The sequence below is a fragment of the Homo sapiens genome, chromosome 2 (genome assembly GCF_000001405.40).
Source record: "Homo sapiens chromosome 2, GRCh38.p14 Primary Assembly".
NCBI lineage: Eukaryota > Metazoa > Chordata > Mammalia > Primates > Hominidae > Homo > Homo sapiens.
The window spans coordinates 169,115,675-169,134,952 of record NC_000002.12 but is presented as its reverse complement, the minus strand read 5'-3'; the positions used below and the strand labels follow the sequence as shown (position 1 = coordinate 169,134,952).

At 40.2% G+C, this 19,278-nt stretch overlaps 1 protein-coding gene across 4 annotated transcripts in view, besides 1 other annotated feature; it reads left to right on the top strand.

Moving 5' to 3' along the window:
- The window catches only part of LRP2 (LDL receptor related protein 2), a 235,426-nt gene extending 227,582 nt beyond the window's left edge, over positions 1-7,844 (top strand). For all 4 annotated transcript variants that reach the window (XM_011511183.4, NM_004525.3, XM_047444340.1 and 1 more), the window contains 3 exons: positions 2,272-2,379; positions 5,869-5,940; positions 6,123-7,844. In XM_011511183.4, the coding sequence (XP_011509485.1) occupies positions 2,272-2,379; positions 5,869-5,940; positions 6,123-6,290 (348 nt within the window). In that variant the 3' untranslated portion in view covers positions 6,291-7,844. The remainder of the gene's footprint in view (positions 1-2,271; positions 2,380-5,868; positions 5,941-6,122) is intronic.
- Positions 13,521-13,679: a silencer, noted in NCBI's record as "fragment chr2:169977784-169977942 (GRCh37/hg19 assembly coordinates)". NCBI's record gives its function as "represses an EF-1alpha promoter that drives an FKBP-Casp9 reporter gene in an ReSE screen in K562 erythroleukemia cells {active_cell/tissue: K562}" and the evidence as "EXISTENCE:reporter gene assay evidence [ECO:0000049][PMID:32094911]".

Here is a 19,278-nt window from a genome sequence, read left to right as displayed (position 1 = left end):
AGGGACAGAAGTTGGAACGCTAGCTGCTTTTTTAGCTAATTTATCAGCATAAGCATTGTCCTGAGCGATGGGATCTGATGCCTTTTTGATGGCCCTTGCAGTGAATGACTCCAGCTTCCTCTGGAAGTAAAGCGGCTTTGAGAAGCGTTTTTATTAAAGACGCATTAATGATAGAGGACCCTTGTGTAGTGAGGAAACCTCTTGCATGGTGGTGCAGGATATGGAAGGCATATATAGAGTCAGTATAAATACTGACATGTAGTCCCTTTGCAAGAGTGAGGGTTTGACTTAAGGCAATGAGTTCGGCTTGCTGAGAGGTAGTGGAGCGGGGCAGAGCGGTAGCCTCAATGATAGATGTGGAAGATACTATAGCATAGCCTGCCTTTGCTGGTGAGTGGCGATTAGGCCTGGTGGAACTGCTATCAGTAAACCAAGTGTGTTCAGGGTGAGGAACAGGAAAAAAGGAAATATGGGGAAATGGGGTGAATGTCAGGTGGATCAGAGAGATACAGTCATGGGGGTCAGGTGTGGTATCCGTAGTAATGTGGGAGGCTGGATTGAAGTCTGGGCCAGAAACAATGGTAATTGTGGGAGACTCAACAAAGAGTGAGTACAGCTGAAGGAGCTGGGGAACAGACAGTATATGCGTCAGGTGGGAGAAAGAAAATAGATTTTGGAAGTTATGAGAACTGTAGAGAGTGAGTTGAGCATAGTTTGTGATTTTTAGGGCCTCTAAAAGTATTAAAGCAGTGGCAGCCGCTGCACGCAGACATGAGGGCTAGGCTAAAACAGTAAGGTCAAGTTGTTTGGACAGAAAGGCTACAGGGCACGGTCCCGGCTCTTGTGTAAGAATTCTGACTGCACTAACCATGCCTAGGAAGGAAAGGAGTTGTTGTTTTGTAGAAGGGATTGAGGTTTGGGAGATTAGTCAGACTTGATCAGCAGGGAGAGCATGTGTGTTTTTATGAGAATTATGCCGAAATAGGTAACAGATGAGGATGAAATTTGGGCTTGACTGAAGTAATGGGGGCTGTCTGTGAAGCTTTGCAGCAGTACAGCCCAGGTAATTTGCTGAGCCTGATGGGTGTCAGGTTCAGTCTAAGTGAAAGTGAAGAGAGGCTGGGATGACGGGTGCAAAGGAATAGTAAAGAAAGCATGTTTGAGATTCAGTCCGTCATCTTTAAGAAGAGCTGGGAGATGAAATAGGAATATAGGTGAAGGGAATAACTTTACATAAGGTCTGCATCAATAGCCCCAGCGCCACTTTTACTGCTTGTCAACTGCGAACATGTATCTCCTTTGTCACAACAACTATGGCCTTAGTGACAATGAATAACTGTCATTGTTAACACCTAATGCTCCTTTTGAACTCGAGATATGGCACATTTTAATACAGAAACTAGAAATGTTTATTTTACAAATATTTTGTGATTTTAAGATCGGAAATGTTTAAATCTTGAAAGCATTTTCCCTGATCCTCTGATAAACAGATATGAAAACTTTAATCACATGATAAAAGAGATACGACATTTCATTTGACATCTTCACTTAAAATAAAATGAGGCCATGTATACAAATGCATATCCAAGTTTCAGAATAAACAAGTAATGAATGTGAAAATATAGGAAAAGGAGTGAATTGTCTACCTTGTAGTTTATTATGCATTCATGGTAATTTGGTCTTAAAAGGGAACCTTGGAATTGTATGAATGTTATAGAAAAATGCGTAGAAGATTATTAATTCTATCATTCTCATCTTTTCAAAAATTCAACCTCTTTTTAGTAGTACTATGAAATCTTAATTTCCGAAGATAGGATTTATTAATATTCAAAGAAATTATTAAGATCCAAAGATAGGATTCTCAGTTCATCAGTGAGGTTGGGGAATTATTCTTGCTGTTCTTCTAGGATTTGGCTTCCAGTATATAACTAGAGTATGATTATCCAAAAATTTGGTCAACAGTGGGAGTAAGAAGGTATAGAGAATACAGTAGAAATTGCTAGTAATAAGTGAGAGTGTGACCAGTGAGGGATGTATTTGCCTCCCAGGATTAAGGTATGAGGTGACTTAGTGGTTGCTGCTCTTGATTTTGGGGCGGTGGGAGTGATGTTTAGTCCTGGCCTACTGGGTCATGCAATAAAAATGGTGCCTGATGATGTCTGTGGGAGAACAAGATGGCAAAAAGAGCCAGAGTTGGTACAAACTTTACAGCAAATTTATTTACTACTAAATTCTTTCAAAATTGGGTAAAGGCCTTTAACATGTCCACAGGTGACTGTATCTGAAAATGTGGATAATAAGAATTATGGAAGTCCCATAAACCCTTCTGAGATAGTTCCAGAGACAAACCCAACTTCACCAGCTGCTGATGGAACTCAGGTAACAGTTGCCGACTCCTGAAATAATGTGGGATTTGGAAAAACTTTGGGATGACTGGGTTTTTATTAACCTTAAGCAAACAAGGGAGATTCTGGAAGGCTCAAAGATCTCAAGATGTGTTGACAGTTAATAAATATAATTTTTTAAAAAGTCATAGATTGAAAAACTTTCCACCAAATAAAGCTACATTCTAACATCGAGTTGGGAATAATGTTCCTTGTAACATAGGAGGACATGTCACAAAGAAGAACAAATAGACTTCTGGATCCAGTATCTTCAGACCAGAGACATTTAAGTTGAGAAATTGACTCAGTATGAATAAAGATTTCACGGTGTCAAAGATACAGATGAAAGATCCGTCTGTGTGTGCCGTGATTTCTCTACAGCATGCATCTTTATTCTTTCAAGCTGTTCTTCGCTCTCCTGCTATTACAGATCTTTACCACTAGATGGCACTAATTTTTCCATTCATCATCCATCTATTCATTATTGGCCAACCAATCATCTAACTAACGTTATTCCCCTCGATGTGTCAGGGATGGTGTTTAATACTGGAGATTGAAAGAAAAAAATGCCACTAGATGGAGCTTCTTAAACATGCCTGCAGGTCCTTTGCAATTGGTACACTATTTGGTCTGCAGGAAGAAATTCAATAAATATATTTGATATTAAACTCTGTATTAATGTATATCATTAGTTTTAATGAATGCATTTGCAGCTATACCAGATATAGCTGTTTGAATCTGGACAAACTGTTTTACTTCTGGGGCTAGAGTCCTCAATAATATTTCTCACTGGGGGCGCTATTGGCATATTGAGTGGGACAGTTCTTTGTGCTACAAAACTGTCCTATGCACTCAGGGAATTTCAGTATTTCTGGTCCCTGTCCACTAAATTCCAGTAGTGTCTCCCCTAATTCAGTGTGACCCCAGAAATCACCTCCCCTCCCCAACACATGTGCACTCACTCCTGGTTGAGAACCGCTAGGATCTGGAATGTCTCTGTTCTAAGATTCTATGACCAATTTTGTGAAGTAATGTAAAGAAATGAAAGTCTAAGAGTAGTTGGAAATTTTACCATTTTATACAATCTTTATTTCTCAAATTTCATAGTCTATAAACATTGATATCTTGGTAACTTGGCAGTCTCATTATCACCTTAAACATTGGTTTCTGTTCTGCTGATTTAAATCAAAATAAAATTTGACCTAAATTGATGCTGAGAAGAGTCTATATCAAGGCTTCTGTACACCTTCTCAAATTCCCTTATTTCTTCTTCTCATGTCACACACACACACACACACACACACACACACACACTCATACACTCACAGACATACATAAATATTGTCTAGAAAGGAATTTTCAGTTTCAGATTTTTCAAGGGACTAAACATTTTTTCTTTAAGCTATATTAAAAATGGATTTTGAAGATTAATTTTCCACAGACACACGGATGCTTGAATGTCATATATTTGGTCCTCCAAGCCTGAGTCAACCCCAAGCTAGTGCCAGATTTATTTTATATTTTCAACATTTTTTCTCAGTCCATCTCTAGTCTAGTGATCTTCTTCACTAAATAGACATTTTCCCCAGCTGGTGCAGGAAGGGGACTGTGGTGGGGAGGCTGTAACCTCTGATCTGCATGTCTGTTATCAGAAACAAAATGTAAACTGACAGTCTCTTTCAAAGGAGAGCAGATCTTCACCAATTGTAGTCCTTTCTTTCTCTTCCCTTTTGTAATACCTTGGTTCCTCCTCTTACTTTTTTACATTAGTGAGGCTGAGACCCTCTAAAATGTGTCTTCCATGTTATGTCCAGGGATCTCACTGTATTTCTTCCCTCCTGGGCACTGAGTTAACAGCCAGCATGCTTTAAAAGCAGTAGAGGCGCTTGGGTGAGATCACCTAGGTTGATTTGAATATGCCAGAGTCCCACAAATGTATCTTTCATCCATAAATATGTTGAAAGACTAACAATTAAAAACATGGGCTGGGCACGGTGGCTCACACCTGTAATCCCAGCTCTTTGGGAGGCCGAGGTGGGTGGATCATGACATCAGGAGTTCAAGACCAACCTGGCCAACATAGTGAAACCCCATCTCTACTAAAAATGCAAAAATTAGCTGAGTGTGGTGGCATATGCCTGTAGTCCCAGCTATTCAGGAGGCTGAGGTGGGAGGATTGCTTGAACCCGGGAGGCAGAGGTTGTAGTGGGCCGAGACTGTGACACTGCACTCCAGCCTAGGCGACAGAGTGAGACTTCATCTCAAAAAAAAAAAAAAAAAGATTCAGTTCTATCATTTTCCAAAAGTTACATTGATATGCATAGGATCCCCCAAGGAGACAAAAATGAAAGTCACCGTCCCTTTCCTCTTGTTAGTAATTGCTTAACTTCAAGTTAGCCATTTCATTTTGAAGCAATGACATCTAAGAGACTTTGGCCCGCCCCACTTAACTGTAAGCGCCCAGAGGCAGGGCTCTGACCTGAATGTCTTCATGTTCCCCTTGGGGGCACTATGTACAAAGCAGGTTCTCACTTGAATGTGGGTTAAAGTGAAGACCTCTTCTACTTCTGTAGCCCTGTGTTCCCCACTCCTCCACAGGCTGGTCCCCTGCTGTCACAGAGTAAGAGACACCCCATAAAACCTGTGGGCTCCCTCAGCTCCTGTTGAGAGTAGGCTGTCTGTTCCCTTGTCTCCCACCAGGTTTTTATCTGGCAGTCAGCATGACAGGCAACTTTTCAGTAAAGCGTGGGCCACGCACCATGGTCCAGGGTGATTATCTTTGGGTTCTCCAGTTTATGGGCCTCTGGGTCCCCTGAGTAATCATTACCTGCCCTTCTACCTGCAAGTTAGTTGTATAATCTTGCTGTGACTCAGCAAGTATAGGATAATAAGTGTACCTACCTCTGGGGTTTGTTAAAAAAAATCAGAAACTTGTAAAACTCTTAGAATAGTTCCTGACACATAGTAAGCACTCAATAAATGTTAGATGTTTTTGTTATTATTATTGTGACACAGGAGGGAATGATGAAGGGAGAAGGGATACTCTTGAGTTGACCAAAGAATGTTACTTTAGGGAATAAGAGTTACAGTTTGGCTTTGCCATCTCCACCCAATTTTCAGGCAGCCCCAGAAATCTCTTTTTCTCCAGATGCATCTTGTGCATGTCTGTTTTATGTGTTCTCTCTGTACTGAGGTAACCAGGTGATTTGCTTGTAGATACTATGGCACAAATTCTATAATATATAAATTTGAAGTCAAAGAAGTGTTTAAAACCATTCGATTAAAAGAGCCCAGAGTTTCAGTTACTGTTCAGGGACCATAGGAGGAATTGAACAATTTACCATATGGGCTGAATCACATGGTCCCAGGTCCCAAATTGCTTTACCCTTCAGTAAGAAGAAATTTTAAAACTGAGACAGGAGGAAAAGAAACCCACAAAATAATTCCATTACTGAGAGGTTTTTGTTTTCCCCTTTTCATTTAGGTGACAAAATGGAATCTCTTCAAACGAAAATCTAAACAAACTACCAACTTTGAAAATCCAATCTATGCACAGGTAATTTTTAACAATTTTTCTTAGCACAGACATTTTTTCTTAGAAATTATTTGCTTGGTTAAATTGGACACACACTTAGATTATTCTGAGCAGAGTGGCCACAAATAGTCTTCTTTATGAAAAACCGTGTATGGTGACCTTGGGGGAATAAATGGCTGATTCCTGTTACATTGTATTCTTAGATGGAGAACGAGCAAAAGGAAAGTGTTGCTGCGACACCACCTCCATCACCTTCGCTCCCTGCTAAGCCTAAGCCTCCTTCGAGAAGAGACCCAACTCCAACCTATTCTGCAACAGAAGACACTTTTAAAGACACCGCAAATCTTGTTAAAGAAGACTCTGAAGTATAGCTATACCAGCTATTTAGGGAATAATTAGAAACACACTTTTGCACATATATTTTTTACAAACAGATGAAAAAAGTTAACATTCAGTACTTTATGAAAAAAATATATTTTTCCCTGTTTGCCTATAGTTGGAGGTATCCTGTGTGTCTTTTTTTACTTATGCCGTCTCATATTTTTACAAATAATTATCACAATGTACTATATGTATATCTTTGCACTGAAGTTGTCTGAAGGTAATACTATAAATATATTGTATATTTGTAAATTTTGGAAAGATTATCCTGTTACTGAATTTGCTAATAAAGATGTCTGCTGATTTGGTTGGTGATCATTATAGTAAATGATCCAACAAGAAAAGGAATTGACTGGGGACCTTTAGCCGTGTCTAAAGAAGAGGCACCACTCATATTTCCTATAAAATTATCTAGGAAAGGAATCCAGGCCCCGCTCTTGGGTCCATTTTTACACATTAGCACTTAATTAATGTTCAATATTACATGTCAATTTGATTAATGGCTATGTTGATAGGGGCCACTATGTGTTGTATAGACATCTGGACTTGACTGTAGACTCCTCAGATAATACAGAAGGTAGGAAAAGCAATTCAGTTTGGCCCTTCTGTGTGTTGGCATTGTCTAACCAGAACTCTCTGTTTCATGTGTGTTCTCTCACTAGCTGCCAAGACAACATTTTTATTTGTGATGTCTATGAGGAAATCCCATATCATTAAGTGCCAGTGTCCTGCATTGAGTTTGTGGTTAATTAAATGAGCTCTTCTGCTGATGGACCCTGGAGCAATTTCTCCCCTCACCTGACATTCAAGGTGGTCACCTGCCCTAGTAGTTGGAGCTCAGTAGCTGAATTTCTGAAACCAAATCTGTGTCTTCATAAAATAAGGTGCAAAAAAAAAAAATACCAGTTAAGTAAAGCCTCAACTGGGTTTTTGTTTCTATGAAAATATCATTATAATCACTATTTATTTCCTAAGTTGAACCTGAATAGAAAGGGAAACCATTCTTATTAAGCTTTTTATTAGGCCCTGTGGCTAAATGTGTACATTTATATTAGAATGTACTGTACAGTCCAGATCTTTTCTTTAATTCTTATTGGTTTTTTTTTTTTTTTTTTTTTTAGAGATGGAGTCTTGCTATATTGCCAAGGCTGATCTTGAAGTCCTGGGCTCAAGTGATCCTCCCACCTCAGCCTCCTGAGTGGTTGGGGTTACGGGCGTGAGCCACTGTGCCTGGCTTCCAGCTCTCCTCTTAAATAGTGGGTATAGTCTGCACAACAGGAACCATGGCAGGAATATACACTTTCCCATAGCAAATAGCATACCTGACTCTCTGTGCTAATATTGCACATTTGTTAAACAATGAATGAATGGATGGATGGATGGATGGATGAATGAATGAAACATATACTACTGATTATTTTATTCCAGAGTTCTCAAAATATTTGTTGCTGATATTTTGAGTGCTGACTGTAATTACTTTGATTAGATAAACAACTGGAAATAATGCTGCTGAAAAAGTTCTAATAAATGTGTATTTTATCAGATGTTTTCTGTGTGCTTCATAAGCCCCAGTCATGAATCAGTTGTATTTTGCTGTGTAAAAAGCTTGAGGCTTTGAGTGCTCTTAGTCACACCAATTCTGTACCACTCCTTCTTGGAATTGAATCCAGAGCAATTTGATTGAAAATCAAGCCTCTGCATTCATTTTTTTGTGTGTCCATGATATTCTGGGGTAAGTTATAGGAAACAAATAACTCTCCAGAAATGAGAAGTTATCAGAGTCGCAGGTAACCACCAGTATAGCCAGTCCTTGAATGCTGTCCATGGCTAAGGCAGAGCAGGGAGGAAAGGTGCATATTCCTGTTTCTCTAATAACTAGCGTTCCCCTAACAGTCATTTGTCAAGAGGACAATTTCCCAGCCAGCTCCGTTAAGCATAGGGTATGGGCCATCTTCCCACTGTTAATCTCTCTGAGCCTCAGCTGCTGCCTCTATAAAATAGGGGGCTCGGTTGTGAGACCCCAGTGTGGGAGTGTAACCCAACACCCAGCATAAAATATACCTTCAATCAATGGAAGCCATGACTATTATCATTTATGAAGTAAAGGGAAAATGGAACAGCCATTTGTGTGTTTTAAAAAGTTCCTTGGGTCATTTAACGAAGAGCCTTGGTTGAAAATGACGATTCTAAATAGAAATGGCTGCTCTTTCTTTTTTAGTGGAGGAGGTTACAGAGGTGAACAAGATTGTGTCTGGGCCTTTGAAAGGATTAACACGTATCTTGTCTATAATGAGGCTGAAGAGCAGATGATAAAAAGTTTGGTCTTGCTTTACTGTCATTTGAAGGTGATAGGAAGGGCAGTAAACACTCCTGTACATAGAAATGGGAAAAGGTTGAGAAGACGGAAGTGCATATTCACATCACAGCACAGGGAACTGAGGCACCGCTGAAATAAATATACCTTTCCCAGATTCCTCCAAGGATCCCGAGGAGTTGTTTGAGTTTGTTGTATATATTCTGGATATGAGTCCCCTGTCAAGTGAATAGTTTGCAAAAATTTTCTTCCATTTAACAGGTGGTCTCTTCATTTTGTTGATTGTTTCCTTTGCTGTGCAGAAGCTTTTTAGTTTATCATAATCCCATTTGTCTATTTTTGGTTCTGTTTCCTGTGCTTTTGAGTTCTTAGTCATAAATTATTTGCCTATAAGAAAGTCCAGGAGAGTTTTCCCTAGGTTTTTTTCTAGGATTTTTATAATTTTGGGTCTTACTTTTAAGTGTTTAATCCATTTTCAGTTAATTTTTGTAGATGGTGAAAAGGGTCCAGTTTTTTTCTTCTGCATGCAGCTACCGATTTTCCCAGCACCATTTATTGAAGAGGATGTCCTTTCCCCCGTGTAGGTTCTTGTTAGCTTTGTCAAAGATCAATTGGCTCTTAAATATGTGGCTTTATTTCTGGGTTCTCTATTCCATTCTGTTGGTCTAGGTGTCTATTTTTATACCAATATCATGCCATTTTGATTACTATAGCCTTGTAGTCAGGTAGCGTAATGCCTCCAACTTTGTTCTTTTTGCTCAGGATTGTCTTGGCTATTCGAGCTCTTTTTTTTGGTTCCATTTTTAAATTTTTTTTCTAACTGTGAAGAATGGTATTGGTATTTTGATGGGGATTGTGTTGATTCTGTATATTGCTTTGGACAATATAGTCATTTTAACAATATTAATTCTTCCAACCCATAAGCATGGAGTATTTCGCCATTTGTTTGTGTCCTCTTCAATTTATTTCATCAGTGTTTTGTAGTTTTTCTTGTAGAGATTTTTCACCTCCTTAAATTTATTCCTAGGTATTTTTTTTGTAGCTATTGCCTTCTTGATTTTTTTTTCTCGGCTAGCTCATTATTGGTATATAGAAATGCTACTGATTTTTGTATGTTAATTTTGTATCCTGCTACTTGATTAAATTCATTTATCAAACCTAGGAGTTTTTTTGGTGGAGTCTTTAGATTATTCTGGATAGAAGATCATATTATCATCAAAGAGGGACAATTTGACTTCCTCTTTTACAATTTGGATGCCTTTTATTTCTTTCTCTTGTCTGATTGCTCTAGCTAAGACTTCCAGTACTATGCTGAATTGGTTAAAAGTGGGCATACTTATCTTGTTCCAGTTCTTAGAGAAAATTCTTTCAACTTTTCTCCATTCAGCACAACGTTATCTGTGGATTTATCATATATGTTTTTTATTATTTTGAGGTATTCCTAGTTTGTTGAGAGTTTTCATTCTGAAGGGATGTTGAATTTTATCCAACGTTCTTTTCTGCATCTATTGAGATGATCATATGGTTTTGTTATTCATTCTGTTAATGTGATGTATCATGTTTATTGATTTGCATGTGTTGAACCATCTTTGCATCCCTGGTGTAAATCCCACTGGATCTTGGTGTATTATCTTTTTAATGTGCTGTTGGATTCAGTTTGCTAGTATTTTATTGAGGATTTCTGCATCTGTGTTCATCAGGGATATTGGTCTGTGGTTTTCTTTTTTTTGTTGTGTCCTTGTCTGGTTTGGGGATCAGGGTGATGCTGGCCTTATAGAATGAATTAGGGAGAGTTCCCTCTTTTTTGGAATCATTTCAGAGGGATTGGTATTAGTTCTTCTTTGTACGTTGGGTAGAATTCAGCTGTGAATCTATCCAGTCCTGGACTTTTCTTTATTGGGAGACTTTTTATTATGGATTCAATCTTGCTACTTTTTATTGATCTGCTCAGGTTTTCTGTTTCTTCCTGATACAATCTTGGTAGGTAGTGTGTTTCCAGGAATTTATCTATTTCCTAGATTTTCCAGTTTGTCAGCATATAGTTGTTCATAATAGTTTCTGATGATCTTTTGTATTTCTATGGTATCAGTTGTAATGTCTTCTTTTTCATTTCTGATTTTGTGTATTTGGGTCTTTTCTTGGTTAGTCTTGCCAGTGGTTTATCCATTTTGTTTATATTTTTGAAGAGCAACTTTCATTTTGTTAATGATTTGTATTTCTTTAAGCCTCTATTTCATTTAGTTCTGTTCTGATCTTTATTATTTCTTTTCTTTTGTTCATTTGGGGTTTGGTTTGTTCTTCCTTTTCTAGTTCCTTCAGGTGCGTTGTTAGGTTGTTAGTTTGTAATTTTTCTACCTTTTTGATGTAGGCATTTAATGCTATAAACTTCTCTTTTAACACTGCTTTTGCTGTGTCCCACAGATTTTGATATGTTGTGTTTCCATTTTCATTTGTTTCAAGAAATGTTTTTATTTCCTTCTTAATTTCTTTATTTACCCAGTGGTCACTCAGGAGCATGTTATTTAATTCCCATGTATTTGTATAGTTTCCAAAATTCCTCCTGGTACTGATTTCTAGTTTTACTCCAGTGTACTCTGAGAAGATACTTGATATAATTTTGATTTTTAAGAATTTGTTGATACTTGTTTTGTGGAGTAACATATGGTCTATTCTGAAGAATGTTCCATGTATTGATGAAAAGATTGTATATTCTGTAATTATTGGATAGAATGTTCTGTAAATGTCTGTTAGGTCCATTTGGTCTAAAGTCCAGTTTACATTTAATGCTTCTTTGTTGACTTTCTGTCTAAATGATCTGTTTAATAGAGTGGGATGTTGAAATCCCCCACTATTATTGTACTGCACTCTATCTCTTTATATCTAGTAATATTTGCTTCATGAATCTGGCTGCTCCAGAGTTGGATGCATGTCTGTTTAGAATTGTTATGCCCTCTTGCTGGATTGATCCCTTTATCAACATATAATGACCTCCTTTGTTTTTTATTTTTGTTTCTGTTTTTTACTGTTCTTGCCTTAAGGTCTATTTTATCTGATATAAGCATAACTACTCCTGCTTGCTTTTGGTTTCCGTTTGCATGGAATATGTCTTTCCATCCCTTTACTTTCAGTCTATATGTGTCTTTACTGGTACAGTGAGTTTCTTATAAGCAACATATAGTTGGATCATGTTTTTAAATCCATTCAGCCATTATATTTTCGGAATTTAATTTTTTTATGTTCAAAATTATTATTGATATGTGAAGCTCCATTCGTTCCTGTCATATTGTTAGTTGTTTTCTGGTTGTTGTAAATATTCTTTGTTCTTTACTTTTTCTCATATTGATTGTCATTGTAGTTTGGTGAATTTCTGTAGTGGTACCATTGAGTCCTTTTTCTTCCTTCTTTATGTGATTACTTTACCAGTGAATTTTATATGTTTGTGTGTTTTCATGATGGTAAATATTGTCTTTTCACCTCCAGGTTTAGAACTCCCTTGAGTATTTCTTATAGGTCCAGTCCAGTCTAGTGGTAAACAAATTCTCTCAGCATTTGCTGTGTGGGAAAGACTTTATTTCTTCTTCATTTATGAAGTGCAATTTTGCTGGAAATTGTATCCTCGGCTGGCAGGTTTTTGTTTTTTTGTTTTTTTTCTTTCAGCACTTTGAGTATGCCATCCCATTCTCTTCTGGCCTGTTAGGTTTCTGCTGAGACATCTGCTGTTAGTCTGCTGAGGGTTACTAGATAGATTACTAGATGGTTTTCTCTTGCTGTATTTAGTATTCACTCTTTACCTTTGACTCTAAACAGACTGAATATAATGTGCCATTGAGAAGACTGTTTTGCCTTGTGTGTTTTTGGGGATTACTGAGTCTGCTGTAACTGAATGACTAAATCTCTTGCTAGACTTGGGAAGTTTTCATCTACTCATTAAATAGGTTTTCTAATCCTTTGTCTCTTTGCCCTTGAGGATACCAATAATGCAAATATTAAATTGCTTTATGTTGCCCCAAATATTACAAAGATTTTGTTTATTCTTTTAAAATTCTTTTTTCTTTATTTTTGCATAACTGGATTATTTCAAAAGGGATTCTGAGATAATGAGATTCTTTCTTCTGCCTGATCTAGTATACTGTTGAAGCTTTCAAATGTATTGCGAGCTTTTGTATTTCCTTCAATGAATTTTTCCCTTCCAGAATTTCTATTTGGTTATTTTAAAAAATGTATTTTTTGGTTAAATTTCTCATTCATATCCTGAATTCTTTTCTGATTTTTTTTTGTATTGTTTTTCAGAATTCTCTTGTATCTCACTGAGCTTCTTTAAATCAATGTTTAAAATTCTTTATCTGGAATTTCAAAAATTTCTTTTTGATTAAAATCTATTGCTAGAGAATTATTGTGTTCCTCTGGAGGTGTCATATTTTCTTGCTTTTTCATGTTTCCTGGGTCCTTATGTTGCTATCTGATGTGATGGTTGGTGTAACAGTTGTTTCTTCTCATTTTTGAATTTACTTTTGCAGGGGAGGACTTTTTCTGAAGTTGCATCTATGGAGTTGCTTGGGTAGGATACGTTGGCTTTGATTCTGAGTGCATGCTGTAGTGTAGTCTCTGTATGATTTATTTGACTGTAAACAGCATAGTAGTATCTGTGCTTTCCTTAGTGAGTTAGGGTGTGGTTATTACTGAAGGCTGTGGTGAAGTTGTGTTGGGGGACTAGCATGCCGTGTGTGCCAATATTCAGGCCCCAATGGTGGCAGCTGTGGGCTGAATATGCCTATATTTTAGCCCCAAGGTGGTGTACAATGGTGCCTGTGTTCATGGTTACTGGTGGGCCAATTCTTAGGCTTCCAAATGGCTTGCTTAGATTCCAGTAGTGGCAGCGATGGACCAGGTGAGTGGGTGGGTTCTCAGGCACCTTGGACAGCTGACATGGCATAGGTGATAGCAGTAGCAGAGGTAAGGTGATTCTCTGGGTCACAGGCAGTATGCATTGATGTTGGTGGTGGCTCCAATGGACTGGGCAGGCCAGTCTCCAGGCCTGCATGTGGACTTTGCTGGTTAGCACCAGCTGAGGTGGTAGTGCCAGGAGTTTAGGTCCAACCTCAAATCCCTGGGAGGAGTGTTCAGGTTCTCAAGGTGGTGGATTGGGTTGGGCAATCCCCAGGACCCTGGGCTGTGTGCCGTATCCTGGAGTTGGAGATAGGTAAGCCAGATTGGCTGAGCTTGTGCTCAGGCCTCCCAAAGGTGAGAGCCATGGTGATCCTCAGGTCCTAGGTGGAGTGCTCAGGTGAGGAATGGTAGTATTGATGCTAAGGCCCTGCCACTGAAGAGGGTGTAGTCATCTGCAGTGACTACAGGCTGGGTTGGCAGTGGGGGAACGCACATCCATCTCATGCCCCCTGGCCAGGCAGGCTGCCTCTCTCCCTTCTTTTCCCCTGCTTTTGATGTTTCCTGTCATTTCTCTGTTGAATTCTAGCATTCTCTCTGGGATAATGTATTTGAAGTGTGATTATCTATATACTATTTTGGTTCTTCTTCTTCTTTTTTTTTTTTTTTTTTTTTGAGATGGAGTCTCACTCTGTCACCCAGGCTGGAGTGCAGTGGCGCGATCTCGGCTCACTGCAAGCTCCGCCTCCTGGGTTCACACCATTCTCCTGCCTCAGCCTCCCAAGTAGCTGGGACTACAGGCGCCCGCCACCACACCCGGCTAATTTTTTGTGTTTTTAGTAAAGAGGGGGTTTCACCATGTTAGCCAGGATGGTCTCGATCTCCTGACCTCATGATCCACTCGCCTCGGCCTCCCAAAGTGCTGGGATTACAGGTGTGAGCCGCCACTGCACCCAGCCCTATTTTGGTTCTTCTAAGTGCAGGAGGTGGGTATGAAATTCTTCTAGCCAGCCATCTTGAAGCCCCTCTCTAGGAGTGTTTTTATAAGAATAGCTCCAGTTCTCCCAAATAATACAAGCTAAGAGGGTTACATTCAGGTGGCACTGGGTGGGGTGGGTGTTCTGTGTCCTCCTGGCAGTGATGAGTCTGTGGGCACCCATAGTCCTGGCTCACTACTTGTGGGCTCCTCCCCTTGGGTGAGCAGGTCAGTCCTTGGCTGCTGAATGGTCAGTCTTCTCCCCATCCCCAATACTGACATGTCGAAGTCGCTCCTCTTGGTGAGGTGAGAGAACTCTTCCACCAGCATGATAAATCTTTGACGAGATGACTGAAAGGGGACTTCCCTCTCTGGGTTTAACTAGTGCTACACATCTTTCCTCAGCCTTTTCTGCTGGTTTTGTATCCTTCCTTCCCTGGGACGGTGCCACTGGATTGCTTAAGATCTTCCTGAGAGGGAATTTGAACAATACTTAGAGGGCTACTCTCAATAGAGTGTCTTCAGACAAGCCAGTGCATACACACACACTCTTTAGTAGAGCTTTTCCCCTGCTGGAACACTTTTTGCAGTGTTGTGGAGCTAAAGTATCCTTGGCCTTCCAATCTGTTTAAGAATTTTCTGCACTGGGGCTGTTTGTCTCATAGTCTACCTTGACTCCTCTCTGGGGGTCCTATGAGGTCTTTATTATGCAAACAGAACTCCCTAGTGCCCCTCCCACACATACACCAAGACAAACCCTGATTTGTCTGGATTCCAGGACATGGGACAGAATGGATTTCATTCTGAGACCTTGGCCATTAATCATCTGTTTGGAATTGAGAATGAATTTCTCATAGAAACAATGTGTCAACTTATAGTTCAGATCTCTCTCCAGCTAACAAGAGCACATCCAATCCAAAATGTAGCCCAGCTGTAGAATTCATTGCTTGAGGCTTGGTTCTGTGGTTTGGCAACAGAAAGTCACACAGTCAGGAAGGAAGAGAATACAGAAAAAAGAAAAAGAAAACGTCCTCCTTTCCTGGGTCTTGGGCCAGTCCTGGGAAAGTTCCTGAAACAAACCAAGCATGTTGGATCTTTGGCTTCCTGCCAGCTCCCCAATGGACCCCTTTGCCAGCACCCAGCAGCCTCTCTTCAAACATTCCAGGACCCCTGCTGTGTGAAATTCATCAGCTTGGCACCCCACCCAGGCTGGGCCCACTCCTCAGCAGGCTCCAAGCACCAACCTTAAGTATCTAGCTGCCACCATGATCCCACAGTTCCCCTGCACAACTCTGCATGACAGAGCCAAATACAAGGACTGTTGGCGGACGTCGGATTAGGTTAGAAGCAGAGTGCAGTAAGCATCTCTGGCAAAACATCCACTATGTTGCTGTGAGCATGGGTTGTGTTCCAGCCCTACGTTAAGTGGTTTACCTACATCATTCACTCAACAAATATTTGAGCACCAAGAATACTGGTGTGGGCATCAGGGGTTATAGTGCAAATGAAATAAACATCCCTAATCTCGTGGGGCTTGCATTTGAATGCATTATTTCCTTTAGTTCTCATACTAAGCTTGAGAGCTAGTACTATCATATCTCCATTTTATTCAGTAAAATAACTTAGGTGCCAAGAGATTAAATAACATACCCCAAGAATATAGCAGGTTAAGTCATGAGACTAGGACTCCACGCCAGGCTCCCTACAATCAGAGACCTTGTCCTTACCACAAGGCCTGATCACCTGGGAGCCAGAACTCCACAACTCCCAGCCCCCACCACAGATGGGGTCAAAAAGGTAGGCTTAGTGGTCCCAACTTGTTCTTGATTTCCTCAACTTCTTCCCCTTTGTCTTCTTAGTTTATAGATTCTCAAGAGATCCTAGATATCCCCCAAGCTGAGGGAAGGGTGAAGATGGGCAGGAAGGCTGAGAATCACGGGTTGTGTGTGAATTGGGGGCTTTCTTTGTGACCACAGCCTCCATGGATCTAATTAGAGGTTTTCTCATGCCTCCTTGAAAGAGAAAGGGTAACTGTCAAACGTGTGAGTCATTGTGAGGCAGGAGAATTGGGAATTAGGGTAACCAAGGGTTAAGGCAGAAGCAAAAGAACAGCAGGTGCAGCCAGTTCTAGGCAACATTAAGCAGCATACAGCATACATCCTAGCTCCTGAGATAACAAGACAGAAGTTTCCACTTCAGCCTCTAATTGACCATGAGCCAAGTCTCCACTTCAGCCACTGATTGGTCACAGGCCAATCCTTCATAGGGTGTGACCAACTGGAGGCCTCTAAAGGGCACCTAGGGGTGTTACCAAACTAAATAAAAATTAATAAATATCTTAATAAAAATCTTAATGGGAGGGGAAGCTCTTGAACCACTTGCTGGAGCCCGCTCCTACAAGAGCTCCTACAGGCTCCTACTCTGTGAAAAGTACTTTTGCTTTAATAAATCTGTGCTTTTGTTACTTCGTTCTTTTGTCGCTTTGTGCATTTTGTTCAGTTCTTTGTTCAAAGTGCTAAGAACCTGGACAACTCACAGTCAAGACCTTCCATCTGGTAACAATTGTATAAATAAGTCGGTCTTGAAATAAAACATTTAGAATAGATTTCTTCAATGGCTATTCCCTGGAATCTGAATAACTGGTATACTTTACACACACACAAAAAGAAAACAAATAAATTCCCCTTTGCATTCCAGCATGAGCCATGCAATGCTCACTAGTCAATGAGTTGAAGAAGCAAGTAGAGACCATCTAAAGGGGTATGGGCAAGGTTCCTATGAGGTCTGAAAAGCCAGCTCATGAAGTCAGGGCCAGTACAATTTCAACCACCCCTGACCTTTCTAGCATTGAATGTAAGTTTAATTCTTCAGGTGATAAATTGGTCTGTAGAGACAAATGGAAACAACCCAGGACACATTTCCTGTGCTAATGTTTGATATCAGAGAAATGTCTCTTTCATCTGCAAGATCAGAATGCCTCCCTTTCTGCAATACAGAACTTTGGGTACCACCTCACTCAGCTTTAAATTCTGTATCCTCAGAAGACTGGGTCATTTCCTTCCACTTAAAACAGCCATCACATGTGTGCTTCTGGTCAGGAAAAGGATTCTGACTCTATTGACTCAAAAAGAGGACTTCCCCTCCTTCCCATCCCTCCATCCTTCTAAGTTCCCCCCTTCCTTTCCTCACTTATCATCCAAGCCTCATCCCTCCCTGTCCCCTCAGCCTTCTTTTCCAGGGGGCCTGAAAGGACCAACCACACATCCATCAAAGGCTGCCTCTGACAGCTGAGCTCAAGAATAAAACTAACAGAGCAGAGGAAAAGATAAAGAAAGAAGGTAAGTGGTGGGAGGAGAGAGAGAGATAGGAGTGTTAGGAAACCTTCCTCTAGGGCTGCTTTTTGTTTTATTTCAGTACACAATGAATTTCTTTTATTTTGGTATGCATCCACATTTCAGCATTTAGTGGTCCTGAACAGAAAGTGGAAAAATGCAGCACTTTGCCAGAAGTCAAGCCCACCAATTTCCAGGATCTGCTGCGCACACTGAGTGCTTTCTTAATCCCTGCTGAGGATTTTGAGACGCAGCACCACCAAAACCAAAGGATGCGCTGAATTCAAGGGTCTTTATGTTCCAGCTGCCAGATTCCAAACGAGACCCCAGTGGATTGCAAGGATGACCAGATGAGAGCCCTGTTTAAAACTTCTTCAATTTTTAAAAGTTGAAGAAGAAATGAAAGCAAAAGAAAATAATTCAGAGGGATCATGTGTGCTTACAAGTGTCTTCATGAGGTCTTTCTCCAAGTTTAGCCACCAAAGACTCTGAGAGCTGGCAGGTCTGAGTAACCCTGGTTGACTGTTCTTTTCAGCTTATCGAAATCTGAGCCAAAAAAACTCATCAGCTGATGATGATAGCAGAGGGTGGCAGGGCTGAGGACCTAATATTTACTTCCCAGGCTGGTGGCAAGTGAATAAATGCAGTTCCAAAACTAAACCAGGGAGGTCAGAGACTTGTTCCAACTTTACCTGGCTTCTGGCCAAAGCAAGGAAATGTCATGGAAAGTATTGGGTGGTGACAGTGCAAAAAGGGACTTGAGGAGGGGGAGGAAAAAACAGCACCCCTCGATAAAGTGGGGGAGAGAAGATATGGGGAAATCCCTGAATTCTTCACCACAGGCGAGCGGAGGGATTACAATCTATGCTCTGGCCAAGGGTGGGAATGGAGGAGTGTGGGGACAAGAGGATGGCTTGGAAGCGGCATCATTTAAGGCTTAAAGAAAAAGACCAGGGATGCAGGCAAAGCTCCTCACATACCCAGCAGTAGTTCCACAGGCTGCAACCCTAAATCATCACGTCTACTCTAACAAGCAGCCCTCAGGCTAGAGGGCTGTTGCAGAGAGGGGAGAGGGAGGGGAAGTGGGAGAAGGCAGAGACCCCAGGCCATGTCATCAGCAACAAGGTGATTGTGTGATGTGTCTTTTTACAGCTGAGTTAGATGTGTCCCACCAGTTATGACAGGAATCAATTTAAATAGATTTTCTTGATGCCAGAAGCTCAACTACGTGGACAGTATTTACACTTGACATGATGATTTATTATAGCACAACTTATATATTTCAAATGGACAAAAAAATTAGTATCATTTACAATATCTTAAGATAAATTTCCTTTGAATGGAAGCTTTCTTTCCAGTACTTTCAGGTCTACAAGATGTACCTAGAAAATTTACTACTGTGGAAAATGAAGACTGCTTCAGTTGAATGAGGGAAAAGGTGAAGGCCCTGTGGTTTTACTTTTTGATTAACT